The sequence below is a fragment of the Homo sapiens genome, chromosome 6 (genome assembly GCF_000001405.40).
Source record: "Homo sapiens chromosome 6, GRCh38.p14 Primary Assembly".
NCBI classification, from domain to species: Eukaryota; Metazoa; Chordata; class Mammalia; order Primates; family Hominidae; genus Homo; species Homo sapiens.
Window position 1 is genome coordinate 7,408,293 of NC_000006.12, and position 18,001 is coordinate 7,426,293.

At 42.7% G+C, this 18,001-nt stretch overlaps 1 protein-coding gene across 3 annotated transcripts in view, besides 2 other annotated features; it reads left to right on the top strand.

Moving 5' to 3' along the window:
• RIOK1 (RIO kinase 1) overlaps nt 1–9,745 on the top strand; it is a 28,230-nt gene extending 18,485 nt beyond the window's left edge. For all 3 annotated transcript variants that reach the window (NM_001348194.2, NM_031480.3, XM_011514933.4), the window contains exons 13-17: nt 2,094–2,159; nt 3,040–3,159; nt 4,597–4,650; nt 5,946–6,098; nt 9,039–9,745. In NM_001348194.2, the coding sequence (NP_001335123.1) occupies nt 2,094–2,159; nt 3,040–3,159; nt 4,597–4,650; nt 5,946–6,098; nt 9,039–9,149 (504 nt within the window). In that variant the 3' untranslated portion in view covers nt 9,150–9,745. The remainder of the gene's footprint in view (nt 1–2,093; nt 2,160–3,039; nt 3,160–4,596; nt 4,651–5,945; nt 6,099–9,038) is intronic.
• Nucleotides 4,601–5,371: an enhancer, noted in NCBI's record as "NANOG hESC enhancer chr6:7413126-7413896 (GRCh37/hg19 assembly coordinates)". NCBI's record gives its function as "activates a minimal SCP1, AML or CMV promoter by ChIP-STARR-seq in naive H9 embryonic stem cells {active_cell/tissue: H9 hESC(naive)}" and the evidence as "EXISTENCE:reporter gene assay evidence [ECO:0000049][PMID:30033119]".
• Nucleotides 17,290–17,791: an enhancer, noted in NCBI's record as "H3K4me1 hESC enhancer chr6:7425815-7426316 (GRCh37/hg19 assembly coordinates)". NCBI's record gives its function as "activates a minimal SCP1, AML or CMV promoter by ChIP-STARR-seq in primed H9 embryonic stem cells {active_cell/tissue: H9 hESC(primed)}" and the evidence as "EXISTENCE:reporter gene assay evidence [ECO:0000049][PMID:30033119]".

Here is an 18,001-nt window from a genome sequence, read left to right on the forward strand (position 1 = left end):
TCCCAAAGTGCTGGGATTACAGGCATAAGTCGCCTTGCCTGGCCAGGTCTTCAGGTTTTATCCTGTCCTTTCCTCTTTTTCCATTTCCTTGCAATACCTTCCCATTTCTGCCTTTGCTCAACTTTGCTCCGCCTGGTGAACTTTAAAGCTCCAGTTAGAAAGCTCTCTGGAGGGGTATTTCAGCAGAAATTGTTTTCATAGGTGTAGTCTCCTACAACTATAATAGAAGTAGTCACACTGTGTCACTTATTATACTAAGTCCCTAATTCTGTCACCCTCAATTATGAACTTTTATGGAACAGGAGTTTTCTCTATTGCCAAGTACCCAATATCTGGCCCATAGTAGGCAATCACATCTGTTAATGGAATAAATAAGTGTGTCATTTTTATTCCTCAACTTTTTAACTTAGCACTGACTTTCTTTTTCTTTTTCTTTTTTTTTTTTTTAAATGGAGTTTCCCTCTTGTTGCCCAGGCTGGAGTGCAGTGGGGCAATCTCGGCTCACTGCAACCTTTGCTTCCTGGGTTCAAGCGATTCTCCTGCCTCAGCCTCCCGAGTAGCTGGGATTACAGGCATGCGCCCCCATGCCCAGCTAATTTTGTATTTTTAGTAGAGATGGGGTTTCTCCATGTTGGTCAGGCTGGCCTTGAACTCCTGACCTCAGGTGATCCATCCGCCTCGGCCTCCCAAAGTGCTGGGATCATAGGTGTGAGCCACCGCACCCGGCCTCTTTTATTTATTTATTTTTTTGACGGAGTTTCGCTCTTGTCACCCAGGCTGGAGTGCAGTGTGCAATTTCGGCTCACTGCAATCTCCGCCTCCCAGGTTAAAGCAGTTCTTCTGCCTCAGCCTCCCCAGTAGCTGGGATTACAGGCACCCAGTAGCTGGGATTACAGGAGCCCACCACCACTCCCGACTAATTGTGTGTGTGTGTGTGTGTGTGTGTGTGTGTGTGTGTGTGTGTGTGTGTGTGTGTGTTTGAGATGGAGTCTGGCTCTCTCACCCATGCTGGAGTACAGTGGCACGATCTCGGCTCACCACAACCTCTGCCTCCCGGGTTCAAGTGATTCTCCTGCCTCAGCCTCCAAGTAACTGAGATTTCAGGTGCATGTTAGCATGCCTGGCTAATTTTTGTGTTTTTAGTAGAGACGGGTTTTCACCATGTTGACTAGGCTGGTCTGGAACTCCTGATCTCATGATCCAGCCGCCTCAGCCTCCCAAAGTGCTGGGATTACAGACGTGAGCCTCAGCCTCCCAAAGTGCTGGGATTACAGGCGTGAGCCTCAGCCTCCCAAAGTGCTGGGATTACAGGCATGAGCCTGTAATTAGACTGCACCTGGCCTAATTTTTGTATTTTTAGTAGAGACGGAGTTTCCCCATATTGCCCAGGCTGGTCACAAACTCCTGATCTCAGGTGATCTGCTGGCCTCACCTCCCAAAGTGCTGGGATTAGAGGCGTGAGCCACTGTGCCTGGGTCAGCACTGATTTTCGTGTCTAAACTCAAAAAAAAAAAAAAAAAAAACCTCTGCTCCCACTATTTTTTCCTTTCTTCTATATAGAGAAGAGAACACTCAGTTTTACAAACCAAAAGAACCCTTTGGAATCTTTGTCACCCTCGTTTCAGTCATTGTTTGCTCAGAGAGCTTTCTTCAGTGCAGCAGCAATAAAGCCGTATATTCAAGATTTACAGCCAGCCTTTGCAATTCCCTTCGCCGACTGCTCAGGATTTAAGGAATGGTTCTTTCATTCTTTAGGTCTCTGTATTCCTTTAGTAAATGCTAAAGCATTTACTAAATGCAAAAGCTAATTATTTAAATTTAGTAAAAGTAGCATAACTTTTGAAAAAGGGGGGCTAGGGATCCCCCTAGGCTAGAAGAGTTTGATTTATTGTTACTTTTGGGTTGATGGCAGCCTTTTTGGTGAGGTCTGTGCTGGAAAGCTAACTTGTACCATTAGACCTCACTAAATGCTTTCCTAAGTGTGAGGAGGTGATACTTAAAAAGACTGGAACAATTTTATACCAAAACTGGGACATGGATGTGCCTTCTGCAGTTTGAATATAAAAGAAAGTCATTTTTGTTTTCTTTCCAAGGCCATGGAAATAGCATCTCAAAGGACCAAGGAAGAACGGTCTAGCCAAGATCATGTGGATGAAGAGGTAGGATTTATTATCTATTCACAGCCTTTGGAAACACTTGTGTTTTGAGGGTTTTTTTTTTTATGTTGCTAGAGCATAAACTTGATTTAAATAGATAAGCAGCTTTTTCAAATGATGGTAATATTTCCTTAAGATATATTATAGTAAATGATTTAAGTGAGCCAAGTTGGATAGTTTACATTTCACTGTATTGGTCCACTCAGCAACCTGTTAGCCCATTGTCCTAGATGGAGAAAATTTTTAAAGAGCCTGTTAGGATATAGGCGTCAAGAAGGAAAAGCCTGTTTTTAATTTGCAAATGTGAGTTTTTAAATGACTTAAATATTGATTCTAGAAATGTTATAGATTTTAAATATTATGCTTTGATAAAAACGAGTCAGGGTGTTTTTTTGTGAAGGAGCCATAGTAGGCTTTTAAAAAAAATTCTCACAACTCTTAATGGTTGACTATGAGGTGCCCTGTGTTTGTCGGCAGCTCTCCACCTTTTTCACTGTAGCAGCTGGGTATGTTTCGTAAGGCATAGCCAGGCAGCGCTTGCCAACTGTAATTCCGCCCCTTTCCCTCCTGCTCAGAAAAGCTTTTTGGAACAAAAATGAAGGAGAAGTGTTATTCTAAGGATAATCTTGAATCAGCTCTAATGTTTTTTTTCCCTTCCTTAAAATAAATCATATGCAAAATTTAGTGTTCTATCATTAGTAGTGTTACTTTTGGGACACCACATCACAGATGGGATACCAGTGTGTGCAGACAGCTTAGCCAAGCATCAGTGTTAGGGATGAATGAATATATAGATTCCCCTGTAACCTGATGGAGGAGTATGCTGTGTGAATGTGAGAAGTGTATGAATAACAGTTTTGATTTTGCTTTTCCTCTCTGTTAGGTGTTTAAGCGAGCATATATTCCTAGAACCTTGAATGAAGTGAAAAATTATGAGAGGGATATGGACATAATTATGAAATTGAAGGAAGAGGACATGGCCATGAATGCCCAACAAGATAATGTAAGTAGCTTGGTTTGTATATAGCAAGCAGCTCTTCAAAAGTAGTAGGGGACTGTCCCAAACCTATCTGGGCCTTTTAAGTTCCCCTAATCTTGAATATTGGCTTCTGAGCTAGTGAAATGACTAACTCTATCTGTGTTAACTTGTGTGCACATTGAACGCAAAGGGAATTATTTGGAATTTATGAGAGGAGGTAACACATTTGAATGAATCCAACAAGCTGTAATTGTAGAAACAAGATTCAGATAGAAGTCTAGGCTATTAATGGTTATTATATTAGGTCCATTAACATATATTTCTTTAACATACATCATTCAGGAACAATTTCTTTTTGGTGAAGGGTCAGATAGTAAATATTTTAGGCTTTGCAAGCCAAGAAACAAAATTGAGGTGATTACGTAGGTCCTTATGTAACAAGAGAGAAAAAAATTCACCCTCAATTTTTATTCGTGAAATTAGAAATACTTTAATAATAGTTGAATACACTTTTGTGTAATACAAGTATACTAAAGAAGAGTGGAATTATTTGATGTGGGGCAGATAATATTTCACTTAATTGGGGCTCAAAGTTTGTGTTTGCTATCTTCAAATTGATTGCAAATGTTTATCTGTAAAAACTACCAGGTAGGCTGGGCGCAGTGGCTCACACCTGTAATCCCAGCCCTTTGGGAGGCTAAGGTGGGCGGATCACTTGAGGTCAGGAGTTCGAGACCAACCTGGCCAACATGGTGAAACCCTGTCTCTACTAAAAATACAAAAATTAGCCAGGCATGGTGGCGTGCTCCTGTAATCCAAGCTACTGGGGAGGCTGAGGCACGAGAATCACTTGAACCCGGGAGGCGGAGGCTGCGGTGAGCTGAGATTGCGCCATTGGACTTTAGCCTAGGCTACAGAGCGGAACTCTGTCTCAAAAAAAAAAAAGGCCCAGTACGGAGGCTCACACCTGTAATCTCAGCACTTTGGGAGGCCGAGGTGGGTGGATCACCTGAAGTCAGGAGTTCGAGACCAGCCTGGCCAACATGGTGAAACCTCGTCTCTACTAAAAATATAAAAATTAGCTGGGCATCGTGGCAGCTGTAATCCCTGCTACTCAGGAGGCTGAGGCAGGAGAATCTCCTGAACCCCAGGTGGTGGAGGTTGCAGTGAGCCAAGATCGCGCCACTGCACTCCAGCCTAGGCCACAAAGCAAGACTCCGTCTCAAAAAAAAAAAAAAACAACTACCAGGTGGCTGGTTGGATTTGGCCAGTAGATCTGGTAGACAGAAATAATATCAATATTATAAACTTCCTGTGTTACAGTGAGATTAATTTTAGATACCTTTTTATAATCATAGGAGACATTATTTAACCCACATTGTTCTTAATAGTGCAATATGCATATTTCATTGTCTAGTTTTATGTTGATCCTTATTTTTTTTTTTTCATTTTGGTTATAAGATTCTATACCAGACTGTTACAGGATTGAAGAAAGATTTGTCAGGAGTTCAGAAGGTATGAAGAACATGTGTTACTGTTTGTTTATGTGAAAACAGTTTTAAAGGATATAAACTCTAGTCATACTGTTTTTTATTATTATTTAATATTATTAGAACTAAATGTTATTTTATATTGTTAAAATGTTATAATTGCTTTCAAAGTCTGTGGACATCTTCAGAAATGCCATTTTTGTGTTCTTTCTAAACACAGCACTGAAATTTGGAAATTAATTTATTTTTCTTTCTGTCTCTGAATTGTTCAGTGATTGCAGGTGAGGTATTTATCTTTTTGTATCCTGGTCGTCATTTGTGGAGCTCTTAATGATAGCCATTGTGCTTCTTGATGGTTTTACAACCAGCTTAGGAGAACTTTGGAATGTAGTCTCCTACCAGGGTATTACTTGTTAAAGAACAATCTCATGAGTTCAGCAAGTCCTGCTGTGCTGGATTCCTGTGATGTTCTTTTTTCTTAAAACAATCTTGTTTTGTTTTACATTTTAGAAGGGCAGGGATTAAGTAATTCTAACTTAGGCAGTCATAAAAGCAGTCTTTATTTTTTTAAATCTTCCTAATTGAAGACTTAAATAAAGGATCACAGTTTGCTTTCTTAAAATCATGTCTTTTCTGTGGAAAGAATTGAATTAGGGGAATTCTGGTATTTTGCATTTCTGAGTTATAATAACAGGTGTCATAAGGAAGTTATGCTTTGGATTCCAGAGCATGAAGATTTTATTGCAGCAAGCTAGAAAATCTTGTTGTACAATTGACTTCTAAAGATCTGTTTTTTTCTTATAAAAGGGAAACCTCACTCTTAAAAACTGCTAGGAAGCGCTGTATTAGACAACTGCTGAATTTCAGGAAGTAATGAAAATTTCTCTTCTTCACATATTGTTTTCCCTCCCAATTGGATTAGTTTATTGCTAGAAATGTGGTTCACAGGAAAACAGCTGTGAAGTTATCCATATAAATCTTCATTTTCTACCTCTATGTATATTTTGCCTCTTTCCCAATCCCAACTAAATGCTCCTGATTAGCTGAAAGAAGGAGAACAGCTCTGTTGTTGATCTAGGTCACGCAGTAAAGCCCTGGTTCCTTCATTTGAGTATGTTCTGGAGCCTTACTTGGAGTGGCTACTTTCATGTTTCCCTCCTGATGTTCATTCTGGTGTTTTGATGTTTCAGTACAGGATGTTAGTTTTTAACATATATTTGCGAGCCTAAAATCTGAATTCTGGCATTAACACATTTAACAACAACACATAACTTGGTTTGTGTGTTGTTTAGAATAACATGGTTCTTTAATAATTTCAAGGTCCCTGCACTCCTAGAAAATCAAGTGGAGGAAAGGACTTGTTCTGATTCAGAAGATATTGGAAGCTCTGAGTGCTCTGACACAGACTCTGAAGAGCAGGGAGACCATGCCCGCCCCAAGAAACACACCACGGACCCTGACATTGATAAAAAAGTAAGCAATGAAATACCTTCCCCTTTTCTTTAGTGTGGGAGCACAGCCGCTCTTATTTCTCTTTGCTCAAGGATCTAGCTAGATTATGATGGCTGAAAACATTATTGATAAGTACCTCTAATTACAGTTTTAATACCTAAGTGTGAACTTGACTTTTGGTGGTAACATTATCTTGAGATTGGGCTGCTCATCAGAGCACCTTGGGCATTGCCTAGAGAGAGCACGCACTAAATTCAGTACATTTCACATGAAGTACAAGTGATGTTAGAGTTGACCCAGGGTAAATACTGAAGAGCCATTTCAGGGGGATTTATAGCCCAGCTTGATGTTTCTGGAATCTGAAAGACCATATAATAGTCCCCCCATCCATGCTTTCAGTTTCTACTGTTTCAGTTCCCTGCAGTCAGCCTTGGTTTGCAAATATTAAATGGAAAATTCCAGAAGTAAACAATTTATAAGTTTTAAATTGCTCACCGTCCTAAGTAGTGTGATGAAATTCATGCTGTCCTCCTCCATCCTGCCTGGAATGTGAATCATCACGTGGTCCAGCGTCTTCACACTGTCGACACTCCCCACCCGTTAGTCACTTAGTAGCCTTCTTGGCTATCAGTTCAGCTGCTGTGATGTTGTGGTGCTTGTGTGCAAGTAACCCTTACTTTGCTTAATAATGACCGTAAATTACAGGAGTAGTGATGTTGGAATTTCAGGTATGCTTTAGAGAAGCCATAAAATGCTTCCTTTAAGTGGAAAGGTGACCATTCTTGACTTAACAAGGAACTCATGCCTGTAATCCTAGCACTTTGGGAGGCCAAGGAGGGCGGATCACTCCAGACCAGTCTGGGCAATAGAGTGATACCCCGTCTCTATTAAAACATTGGTGATGAGCACCTGTAGTCCCAAATACTTGGGAGGCTAAGGCAAGAGGATCCCTTGAGTCCAGAAGTTTGAGGTTCTAGTGAGCTGATCATGCCACTGCACGCCAGCCTGGGTGACAGAGTGAGATTCTGTCTCAAAAAAATAAATAAAAGGAAAAGAATCATATGCTGAAGTTGCTGGTGAGAATCTTTTATCCGTGACATTGTGGAGAAGGAAAAAGATGTTTGTGCTGGTTTTGCTGTCTCACCCCAAACTGCAAAACTTAGGACCATAGCATGTGATAACTGCTTAGTTAAGATGGAAAAGGCATGAAATTTGTGGGTGAAAGACGTAAACAAAAACATCTTCCAGTTGATGGCACCATGTTGCACCAGAAAGCACTGAGCCTATACGAAGGTTTCAAAGGTTTCAGCAAGGGTTCCCCTGAAATGAGTGCCACCAGGCCATTTACTGTAAGGAATAGTTACACAGATTCAGGAATAGGTTTGGACTAAAAAATAGAAAAATTACCAGAGAGGCTGCATCTGCCAATGAAGAAGCTACTGTCACATGAGTATGATACTGTGGGATATTTGGAGAGAGAGACCACATTCAAATAACTTTTACTATAGTATATTGTTACCATTCTGTTATTAGTTATTATCTCTTACTGTGCCTAATTTATAAATTAAACCTCATCATAGGTACGTATGTATAGGTAGAAGCATAGTATATATAGGGTTTGGCACTATCCACAGTCTTAAGCATCCACTGGGAGTCTTGGAACATATCCCCCATGGATAAGAAGGGACTCTTGTATTTCTTTAATCCCTAGCCATAGACATAGAGACACTGCTGACTGAGTGCTATGTGACTATTATTATTCCATCTTAGTCTAATCCTTTAAACCTTATACAATGTGGGTCCCAAGACTTCTGAGGGACATACTCAGCTGCTAGCATATTTTCTCATATGTCTACTAGAAACACATATTTTGTCTCTTTCCAATGTCTATTTCTGTTAGAATATGGAACTTGTAAAGAAAAGTATTTGCAAACATTTAATAACATTCTTAGGGATATTTCTGTTTGGCTGTCTTCACATTTCTATTAAGGAAGCTCAGCTGGGCGCGGTGGCTCACGCCTGTAATCCCATCACTTTGGGAGGCCAAGGCAGGTGGATCACGAGGTCAGGAGATCGAGACCATCCTGGCTAACATGGTGAAACCCTATCTCTACTAAAAATACAAAAAATTAGCCGGGCGTGGTGGCAGGCGCCTGTAGTCCCAGCTCCTTGGGAGGCTGAGGCAGGAGAATGGCGTGAACCCAGGAGGCGGAGCTTGCAGTGAGCCGAGATCACGCCACTGCATGCCAGCCTGGGCGACAGAGACTCCGTCTCAAAAAAAAAAAAAAAAAGAGGAAGCTCAAGGCCGGTTATGGTGGCTCATGCCTGTAGTCTCAGCTACTGGGGAGGTTGAGGCAAGAGGATTGCTTGAGCCCAGGAGCTTGAGGCTGCAGTGCACAATGGTCATGCCACTGCCCTCCTGCCTGGGTGACAGAGTGAGTCCCTGTCTCTAAAAAGAAAAAACTGAAAGACAGTTTTCACCCCAAGTTCCTCCACCAACCCATAATCATTTTCTTTTCTTTTCTTTACATTACACTCACTTTTATTCTTCTATGTGTGTATTTTATTTAGTTATAATCATAATAATACTCCAGGTGGGTGCAGTGGCTCATGCCTGTAATCTCAGCATTTTGGGAGATCAAGGTGGGTGGATCACTTGAGCCCAGGAGGTCGAGACCAGCCTGTGCAATCTGGCGAAGCCCCATCTCTACCAAAAAATACCCCAAAAAAACCTAGCCAGGTGTGGTGGTGCACACCTGTTGTCCCAGCTACCCAGGAGGCTGAGGTGGGAGGATTGCTTGAGCCCAGGAGGTGGAGGCTGAAGTGAACCATGGTCACGCCACTGACTCCAGCCTGGGCGACAGAGCAAGACCCTGTCTAAAAAACAAAAAACAAAAAACAAAAACAAAAAATGCATACTCCAAATGAATGAAAGTTGGCTTTTTTGTTTGTTTTTTACAGGAAAGAAAAAAGATGGTCAAGGAAGCCCAGAGAGAGAAAAGAAAAAACAAAATTCCTAAACATGTGAAAAAAAGAAAGGAGAAGACAGCCAAGACGAAAAAAGGCAAATAGAATGAGAACCATATTATGTACAGTCATTTTCCTCAGTTCCTTTTCTCGCCTGAACTCTTAAGCTGCATCTGGAAGATGGCTTATTGGTTTTAACCAGATTGTCATCGTGGCACTGTCTGTGAAGACGGATTCAAATGTTTTCATGTAACTATGTAAAAAGCTCTAAGCTCTAGAGTCTAGATCCAGTCACTGACTCTGTCTGGTGTTGACAGAGGATTTATTTAAGCTATTATTTTAATAAAGAACTTTGTACATTTTTATTTTTATATTTTTTTCTCTTACAAATATGTTTTTGGAAGCATGATAAATGTTTAAATGTAGTCAACATCTGTAACTCTTACATGAGTGTCCAGAGGCACTCATGGGAAAATTGGTTTTGCTTTCTTTGTACACACCAGAGACCCATCTGAGGTCATCTGATTATAAGGCCATGTTTATATAAAGGGAATTTCACCCACAGTTCAGCTGGCTGTTGATTTTCACTGCAACTCTGCCTTTGTGTGTATTGGCGATCATTTGTAATGCTCTTACACTTCGTCTTTAATGTTCTTTTTGGAGTTAGGACCTCTCAGTTCATAAAGTTTTTTACAATTCAATCATTTGGCATATTCATTCATTCATCAAAAATTTGAGTATTTTAGTTGCTGGGGATACAGCAGAAAACAAACTAGACAAAAATTACTACCTTTGAGTAGTTTACATTTTGATAGGAAGATAAGACATTAACCAAAGTAAGTAAAAAGCAGTGTATCAGCAGGTGATAAATTCTATGGAGAGAAATAATGCAGAGATGAGAGGGCGCCTATAGATGAAAGAGTTTGCAGTTTAAAATAGGGTTCTTGGAAAGGCCTTACTGAGGGCTGATATTTGAGCAAATACTTGAAGAAGGTGAATTGTTTGCATAACAAGAAGGAAGAACATGCCAGGCAGAACAACCAGCAGTTGCAAAGCCCTGAGGCAGGAGTGTACGTGACATCTTCCAGAAACAGGGCTGAGACATCATCATCAAGGGAGAAAGTAGTAGATGCAATCAGATAGTGTACGGCTGTGGGAGGGTTTTGGCAGGGGAGTGATATGATCTGACTTCTGTTTTAAAAGGATTACTCTGGCCTCTGTGGAGAATTGATCAGGAAGCAAGGGTGGGAGACCAGTGGGTATGTTCATTGAAGTAAACCCAAGCAAGAGACGCTGATGGCTTGGTATAGGATGGTGGCAGACATGAGAGAAGTGGTTGCACATTCTAAGGGAAGAGATGAGATTGCGTGGAGTGAAGGGTGACTTCAGGGTTTCTGACCTGAGCAGCAACTGAGATGACTGGAGTTGCCACTTACTGTGATGGGAAAGACTGGACGGGAGCAGGTTTGGGGAGGGTAGGAGGGTGAGATAAAACCTTACATCACAACATAGTACAGATACTAAAAGAAATTACCAATTTAATTTTTTTAATGATATACTTTATGTTGGAAGTGACTCTTGTAGTCATTGCATTTAGAAATAATTTCTATAAATCAACCCCTAGTTTTCACTTAAACTGAAGCTTGCCCCTGCTTATTTGACAGTGGGTTATAGGGGGAAATCATTTGAGCTCTTTATGTTTATTTTGACTATAAAGTTCAAAATATGAAATATAATTTCAATGAAACACAAAAATAATCCCTCTAAAATAGTCTACAGTTAGCACAACAAAAGAAAAAGCAAAAGCAGATATCAATCCTGCACACATCTGGGGAGTTTATCTTCAGGATCTTCTAACTCTTGTGTTTGTTTTGATCTTACTCTCCGACATGGTATGTTTGCATTAGGAGGTCAAGCTGCTCAGTGCTGTCTTTTGCTGAATCTCATGCAGTTTCCAAGCTTGGAATCAGTGCCACTTGGCCAGATGTAGCAATAGCCAGATTGTGGGGCAGTTCATTCTCTTACATTGCTGCTGGGAGGAAGTGACTTGTAAAACATCAAGAGTTGGTAATGAAGATTCTAACCTGAGAAAAGCTTTTCTGATACCCCTCTTGCTCATGTGGCTGTATCCTTGTTTGGATTCTGGGTCATAAGGCTGTGGCTGGTTAATAGCCACTCATCGTATTCTTGCCAACCTTGTCTGAAATTATCATCCTCATCAGAAGGCTTAGAAGGAGCCTAATCTTAGGCAAACAACTAGCAGGGCTGCTTGCTGACTTTGATAACAATTGAGTTTTGATTGTTTGGCAGGTTTTAGTGTTAATGGATTATTGGTTGTACAGTTACTTTCTACTTGGAAAGGTGAAGTTTGGGTCTCTTGGCCCAAAGCTGGGGACATTATTTTGGTGGTTGTAGATATATCTGATTTCATGTTTTGTTGTTTTTCTCATCCATCAAAATAATGCAGATGTTTCTAAAAGTTTACTATGAGAAATCTGGGTAACTTCTTTGAAGCACAAAATTACAGCTGTTTCCTATGCTGCTGTCACTCTTATTCTTCCTTTGATAGACCTGTTCAGGAATAGAGTGTTTCTCAGCCTGAAAGTACCACCATTTCTTTTTGTTTGTTTGTTTTGAGATGGAGTCTCGCTCTGTCGCCCAGGCTGGAGCGCAGTGGTGAGATCTTGCCTCACTGCAACCTTCATCTCCCAGGTTCAAGTGATTCTGCCTCAGCCTCCCAAGTAGCTGGGATTACAGGTGCCCGCCACCACACCTGGCTAATTTTTGTATTTTTAGTAGAGACAGAGTTTCACCATGTTAGCCAGGCCAGTCTCGAACTCCTGACCTTAGGTGATCCGCCCACCTCATCTCCCAAAGTGCTGGGATTACAGGCGTGAGCCACCACTCCCAGCCAGCACCACCATTTGAAAGTGGTCTTTTAGTGAAGAAATGAGAATGGTGGCAGCTCTTTGCCCAGGTCTGGTCAAGTATGAATCCATGGTTCTTGGCTAACATCAAGTTTTCTTCAGCTTTATCGCTAACTTGATGAAGACAGACCCAAGATGTTGAAAAACTTTATAGCTTGGTACTAAGAGTTGTTTGAGATCTTTCCTTTTCATGAGTATTCTGTTTAATTCTGTGCTAGCAGCTTGTTTCTTGGCTGTGGGCCCATCCTGTTTTGTGACTGTGATTTCATTAACCTTTTGGCTCAGAAAAGGAAGAGATTAAATAAAAGTTCCTCCAGATGCAGGTAAAAATGAAATTTAAGGACATCTCAAATGTCAGGCTCTGAATGCTATCTCTAAAAAATCCTTTTCATTTTCAAAAGCTTGATATACTCTCTAATTTCTAGTGGTCTATACACATCGTAAATAAAGACCTTGACTGTTCAGAGCTTTACTTTGATTTCTGAGGTTTACTTTTTTGATGGAAGAGCTAAAAGGATTGGCAGCGTGAGCAGATTCTCCTCAAGTATAGTTTCCCATGAAGATTTCAAGCGCAGGGATCAAAACCAAGAACTCTCCACATTCTGTCTCCTAAATGGGATTAGGGTGTCACATTCCCTGCATTTTGGTTGGAGTATTTAACTTTCATATCCTTTGGGTTTGTGTTGCCTTGGACATGAAGGCTTTTAACTGTTTCAAGGGAAACCATAATATTGGTATGAAATCATTAAAGCCAGTTTTGTAAGGAAAGAAGTACTATCTTGCATCTATGCCTTCCAGAGATCTTAGTCCCAGTTGATGGTGTTGCAGAAGGTGGTGCAGGGTCTCAGACCCTGACACCATTAAGAAGGCAAATGCTGTAACCATTGTGGAAGTAATAGTAGCACCTCCCTCATAGATTATTGTGAAGGATGCTGAGAAGAGCTGGTGGGAAAGTTTGCAATGGTTGGATCAGGCTGATAGTACCCGAACCCATTGCTTTGTCATTGAAAGCGGAGCAGCCAGCCCCATAGGTGCTCCTGTTGTGATGTAAAAGGAAGTACACAGAACCATCTGTAAAATACCTCACCTGCCCCTAAAAACATTGAACCTGAACTATGTGGCCACTAGATGTAACTAGCAGTTTACAGGAAACACAGGACGCAGGAACAGGATAAATGATCCTATGAGGACACAACCAAATCTGGAATAAGGGAGACTCCATAAGGAAAAAAAAAAAAAATGGAAGGCAGGGCACTGTGGCTCATGCCTATAATCCCAGCACTTTGGGAGGCCAAGGCGAGCAGATCACGAGGTCAGGAATTCAAGACCAGCCTGGTCAACATAGTGAAACCCCGTCTCTACTAAAAATACAAAAATTAGCTGGGCATGGTGGCACATGCCTGTAATCCCAGCTACTTGGGAGGCTGAGGCAGGAGAATCGCTTAAACCTGAGAGGTGGAGGTTGCAGTGAGCGGAGATCGCACCACTGCACTCCAGTTTGGGCAACAGAGTGAGACTTCATCTCAAAAAAAAAAAGAAAGCACAAGTGGTTTCAGACCACATATCCCAATGCTGGGTACTGCATTTGGATCCTGATGAAATCAAACCAATTGTAAAAAAAATTGGGATGGTTTTTTTAAAAAAAGGAAAGTTAAAATGAAATATGTATTAGATGGTAGTAAGGAATTGTTCATCTTATTACATATGATAGTGACATTGTGGTTACATTTTTAAAAAATGTGTTCCCTTCAAGTATCTACTGAAGTCTTAATGAATAGGATGTCTGGGATTGCTTTAAAATACTCCACCCTGTCTCTAAAGAAAAGTGGCAGTAGATGAAGCAAGATTTGCAGAATGTTAATAATTGCTAAAGCTGGGTAATGGATATGTGGGGATTCATAATACTGTTCTATTTTTGTATATAAAAATTTCTCTAAGAAAAAGGTTTTTTAAAACAATTTTTAAGAGCGTCTCACTCTCTTGCCCTGGCTGGAGTGCAGTGGCACCTTCTTAGCTCACTGCAGCCTCGACCTCCTAGGCTCAAGTGATCTTCCTGCCTCAGCCTCCCTCGACCATCTGGGCTCAAGCAATCCTCCTGCCTCGGCCTCCCAAAGTGCTGGGATTACATCTACCACACCCAGCCAATAAAATGTTTTCTAAAAATATGTTTAAGTATATTGAGCACTCAACATGGCTTATCACGTAGTAGTGCTATATTATACAAGTGTCTATGTATTTGTTATTTTACTTACTACTTTCAAGTAACTTCTTTTGCCTAGGCATCAGGTTAAACCATGTGAGCTAAGAAGATAGGTCTAGGCAGAATTATAATGCCAGTACTCACCTAGCTTGGTGTCATGAAATGCCCTTTTGGTTCTGAAATTTAGATTCTATTAGTGGGTGCAGTAAGATAACTTGTATATTGAACAAATGCAGATAGAATTCATTTTGCCAACCTGATCCTTGTTTTAAAAGACAATATCAGCCAGGCGCGGTGGCTTATGCCTGTAATCCCAGCACTTTGGGAGGCTGAGGAAGGTGGATCAGCTGAGGTCAGGATTTCAAGACCAGCCTGGACAACATGGCAAAACCCTGTCTCTACTAAAAATACAAAAATTAGCCGGGAGTGGTGGTGTGCACCTGTAATCCCAGCTACTCGGGAGGCTGAGGCAGGAGAATCGCTTGAACCTGGGAGGCAGAGGTTGCAGTGAGCCAAGATCGTACCACTGCACTCCAGCCTGGGCGACAGAGTGAAACTCTGTCTCAAAAAAAAAAAAAAAAAAAAAAAAAAAAAGGCAATACCACTTCTGTGAGACCTGTTCTAACCACTCTTTGAAATTGCCATCCTGCCTGCTTCCCAAAGGCCCCACATGCCTTGTCAGCTCACTTGCATTATTTTTCTATAGCTCTTCTAACAACCTAAACTCACATGTTGAATTTACTTATTCATACCGTGTCTCTTTCCTCGCCTTCCACCTCCGTCTATAGTGTAAGCTCCACAAGGGCAGGGATTTCTGTCTTTGTTTTGTTTTGTATCCCTGCTCCTAGCATGGTGCCTGAAACGTAGTCAATGCCCAACAAATACTTAACTGAATAATATGTTGTGTTTCCTAAACAAAGATCAGGCTATTCCATCCATGGATCACACCCCTCACGTTCATAAAAATGAAAATAAGGAGTCGACGTGGGTTGATCTGCACCTTCTAGTCAGACCCTCCCTGTGACCAGCGGCCATGTTTTCCAATGGCAGCCGGAGTCGGGTCTGGGGGCTCAAGTGCTACACCCTGCAACAGAGCCTGTTTTGTCATTGACCCTTGGTGCGGAAGGCACTCAAGCCAATGGAACTGATTAGACTAAGATTAAATTAGACTAAGATAATCGAGGAATGTTGCTATTTTAATCTTGACCATGTGAGACCATTTGACTATCATCCAAAGGGCTCAGCCAAAAAAAGATTACCTAATGAGTTAATCCCAAATCATCACAATATGTGAGAAAATGGGGCCGGGCATGGTGGCTCCCAGCACTTTGGGAGGCCAAGGCAGGTGGATCACCTGAGGTCAGGAGTTCAAGACCAGCCTCGCCAACATGGTGAAACCCTGTCTCTACAAAAATACAAAAATTAGCCGGACATGGTGGCAGGCGCCTGTAATCCCAGCTACTCAGGAGGCTGAGGTGGGAGAATCGCTTGAATCCAGGAGGCAGAGGTTGCAGTGAGCCGAGATCATGCCTTTGTACTCCAGCCTGGGCAACAGAGCGAGACAATGTCTCAAAAACAAAAAAAAAAAAAAGAAAAGAAAATAGGAAAATGGGAAGCTTTATGAAATCAAGACGTGTGTTCACACGTCATCATCTCTTCCCAAATGTTATAGCTGATAAATTTAAAGAGCTATTGATTCCAAGAGATGGCCCTGAGTTTAAACAAGACCTCGGCCTACTTGGTAGCCTGACAAATTCCCACAGTGACACTGCCATGATCCTTTCCTCCAACAGGTTGTGAAATAGTGCCCCAGTCCCATGGGACTGGTGTGATTGTTAGTGGGTACTCAGTCTTGCCCAATCTGATTTTTCCTTAAATAGTACCAATATGACAGCAATGTTGGGATGTTGTCTCCGGCTGCCTCTGCATGTAAATATTGTCAACCTTGCTCAAGGGAAATGGGGTTGCCGACTTTAGTCCAAGATCCCTCTCTTGGCTATTACTGGCAACCTGCCATGGAACTGGGCAAGCCTCTTTCCTTTCGGGGGAAACTGCTCATCTGTAAATTGAGGGAATTGGGTTATCTAGTCCAACTTGGTCTAGATGGTCTTAACATTTCATCTTTAAAATTCTGTTATTAAAAAAAAACAAAACAAATGATTTGGAACAGCCAAGTTGGAATTACAAATCCTGAAAGGACTTGTTCATTAAAAATAAAATGGCCAGGTGCAGTGGCTCATGCCTGTAATCCCAGCACTTTGAGAGGCAGAGGCGGGCGGATCACGAGGTCAAGAGATTGATACCATCCTGGCTAACACGGTGAAACCCCATCTGTACTAGAAATACAAAAAATTAGCCTGGCGTGGTGGCGGATGCCTGTAGTCCCAGCTACTTGGGAGGCTGAGAGAGGAGAATAGCATGAACCCAGGAGGTGGAGCTTGCAGTGAGCCGAGATCGTGCCACTGCACTCCAGCCTGGGTGACAGAGCCAGACTCCATCTCAAAAAATAGATAAATAATAAATAACAAATAAAATAAATGGGTTGAAAGTGTCGATGATCACACAGGTCAGGTATGCCTTTTCTATGAATCATAATCTCATAAGGCAACTTTTTACCCTGTGCTATTTTAATTTTGCGATAGGAATTGTTCATTGGCTTTGCAATAATGTTTGCTCCTCTAGAGGGAGGTGTGCTCTTGGGTTCCGATTATTAGCTTGTACTCAAGCAAGCGGAGGACAGGCTGCTGAGGGCCAGAACTGTAGACTGTGCAGGACAGCAGGCATTCCCCTCAAAGAAGGATTACATCAACAGACCCTGGTGATAGTGGGGGCATGTTTGGTGGCTGATTTTTTTTTTTTTTTTTTTTTTTTGAGACAAAGTCGCTCTTGTCTCCCAGGCTGGAGTGCAAAGGCACGATCTCGGTTCACTGCAACCTCTGCCTCCCCGGTTCAAGCGATTCTCTTTCCAGTCTCCCCAGTAGCTGAGATTACAGGCGCCTGCCACCACGCCCAACTAATTTTTGTATTTTTAGTAGAGACGGGGCTTCACAATGTTGGCCAGGCTGTTCTCAACATTGTGTTCCCAACACAACGTTGGCCAGGCTGACCTCAGGTGATCCGCCCGTCTCAGCCTCCTAAAGTGCTAGTGAGAGGTGACAGCGTGCTGGCAGCCTTCACTCGCTCTGGGCACTTCTTTTCCATGGGCTCCCACTTTGGCGGCACTTGAGCAGCCCTTCAGCCCGCCGCTGCACTGTGGGAGCCCCTTCCTGAGCTGGCCAAGGCCGAAGCCGGCTCCCTCAGCTTGCCGGGAGGTGTGGAAAGAGAAGCACGGACGGGAACTGGGGCTGGGCGCGGCGCTTGCGGGCCAGCGCGAGTTCCGCGTGGGTGTGGGCTCCGCGGGCCCCGCACTCGGAGCAGCCAGCTGGCCCCGCCGGCCCCGGGCAGTGAGGGGCTTAGCACCTGTGCCAGCAGCTGCTGTGTTCGACTTCGCGCCGGGCCTTCACTGCCTCCCCGCGAGGCAGGCCTCGGGACCTGCGGCCCACCATGCCTGAGCCGCCCCCCAATCCCGGGCTTCTGCGCGGCCTGAGCCTCCCCGACGAGTACCGCCCCCTGCTCCACAGCGCCCAGTCCCATCAACCATCCAAGGGCTGAGGAGCGCGGGCGCACGGCGCGGGACTGACAGGCAGCTCCACTTGCGGCCCCAGTGCGGGATCCACTGGGTGAAGCTAGCTGGGCTTCTGAATCTGGCGGGGACTTGGAGAATCTTTATGTTTAGCTAAGGGATTGTAAATACACCAATCAGCACTCTGTCTCTAGCTCAAGGTTTGTAA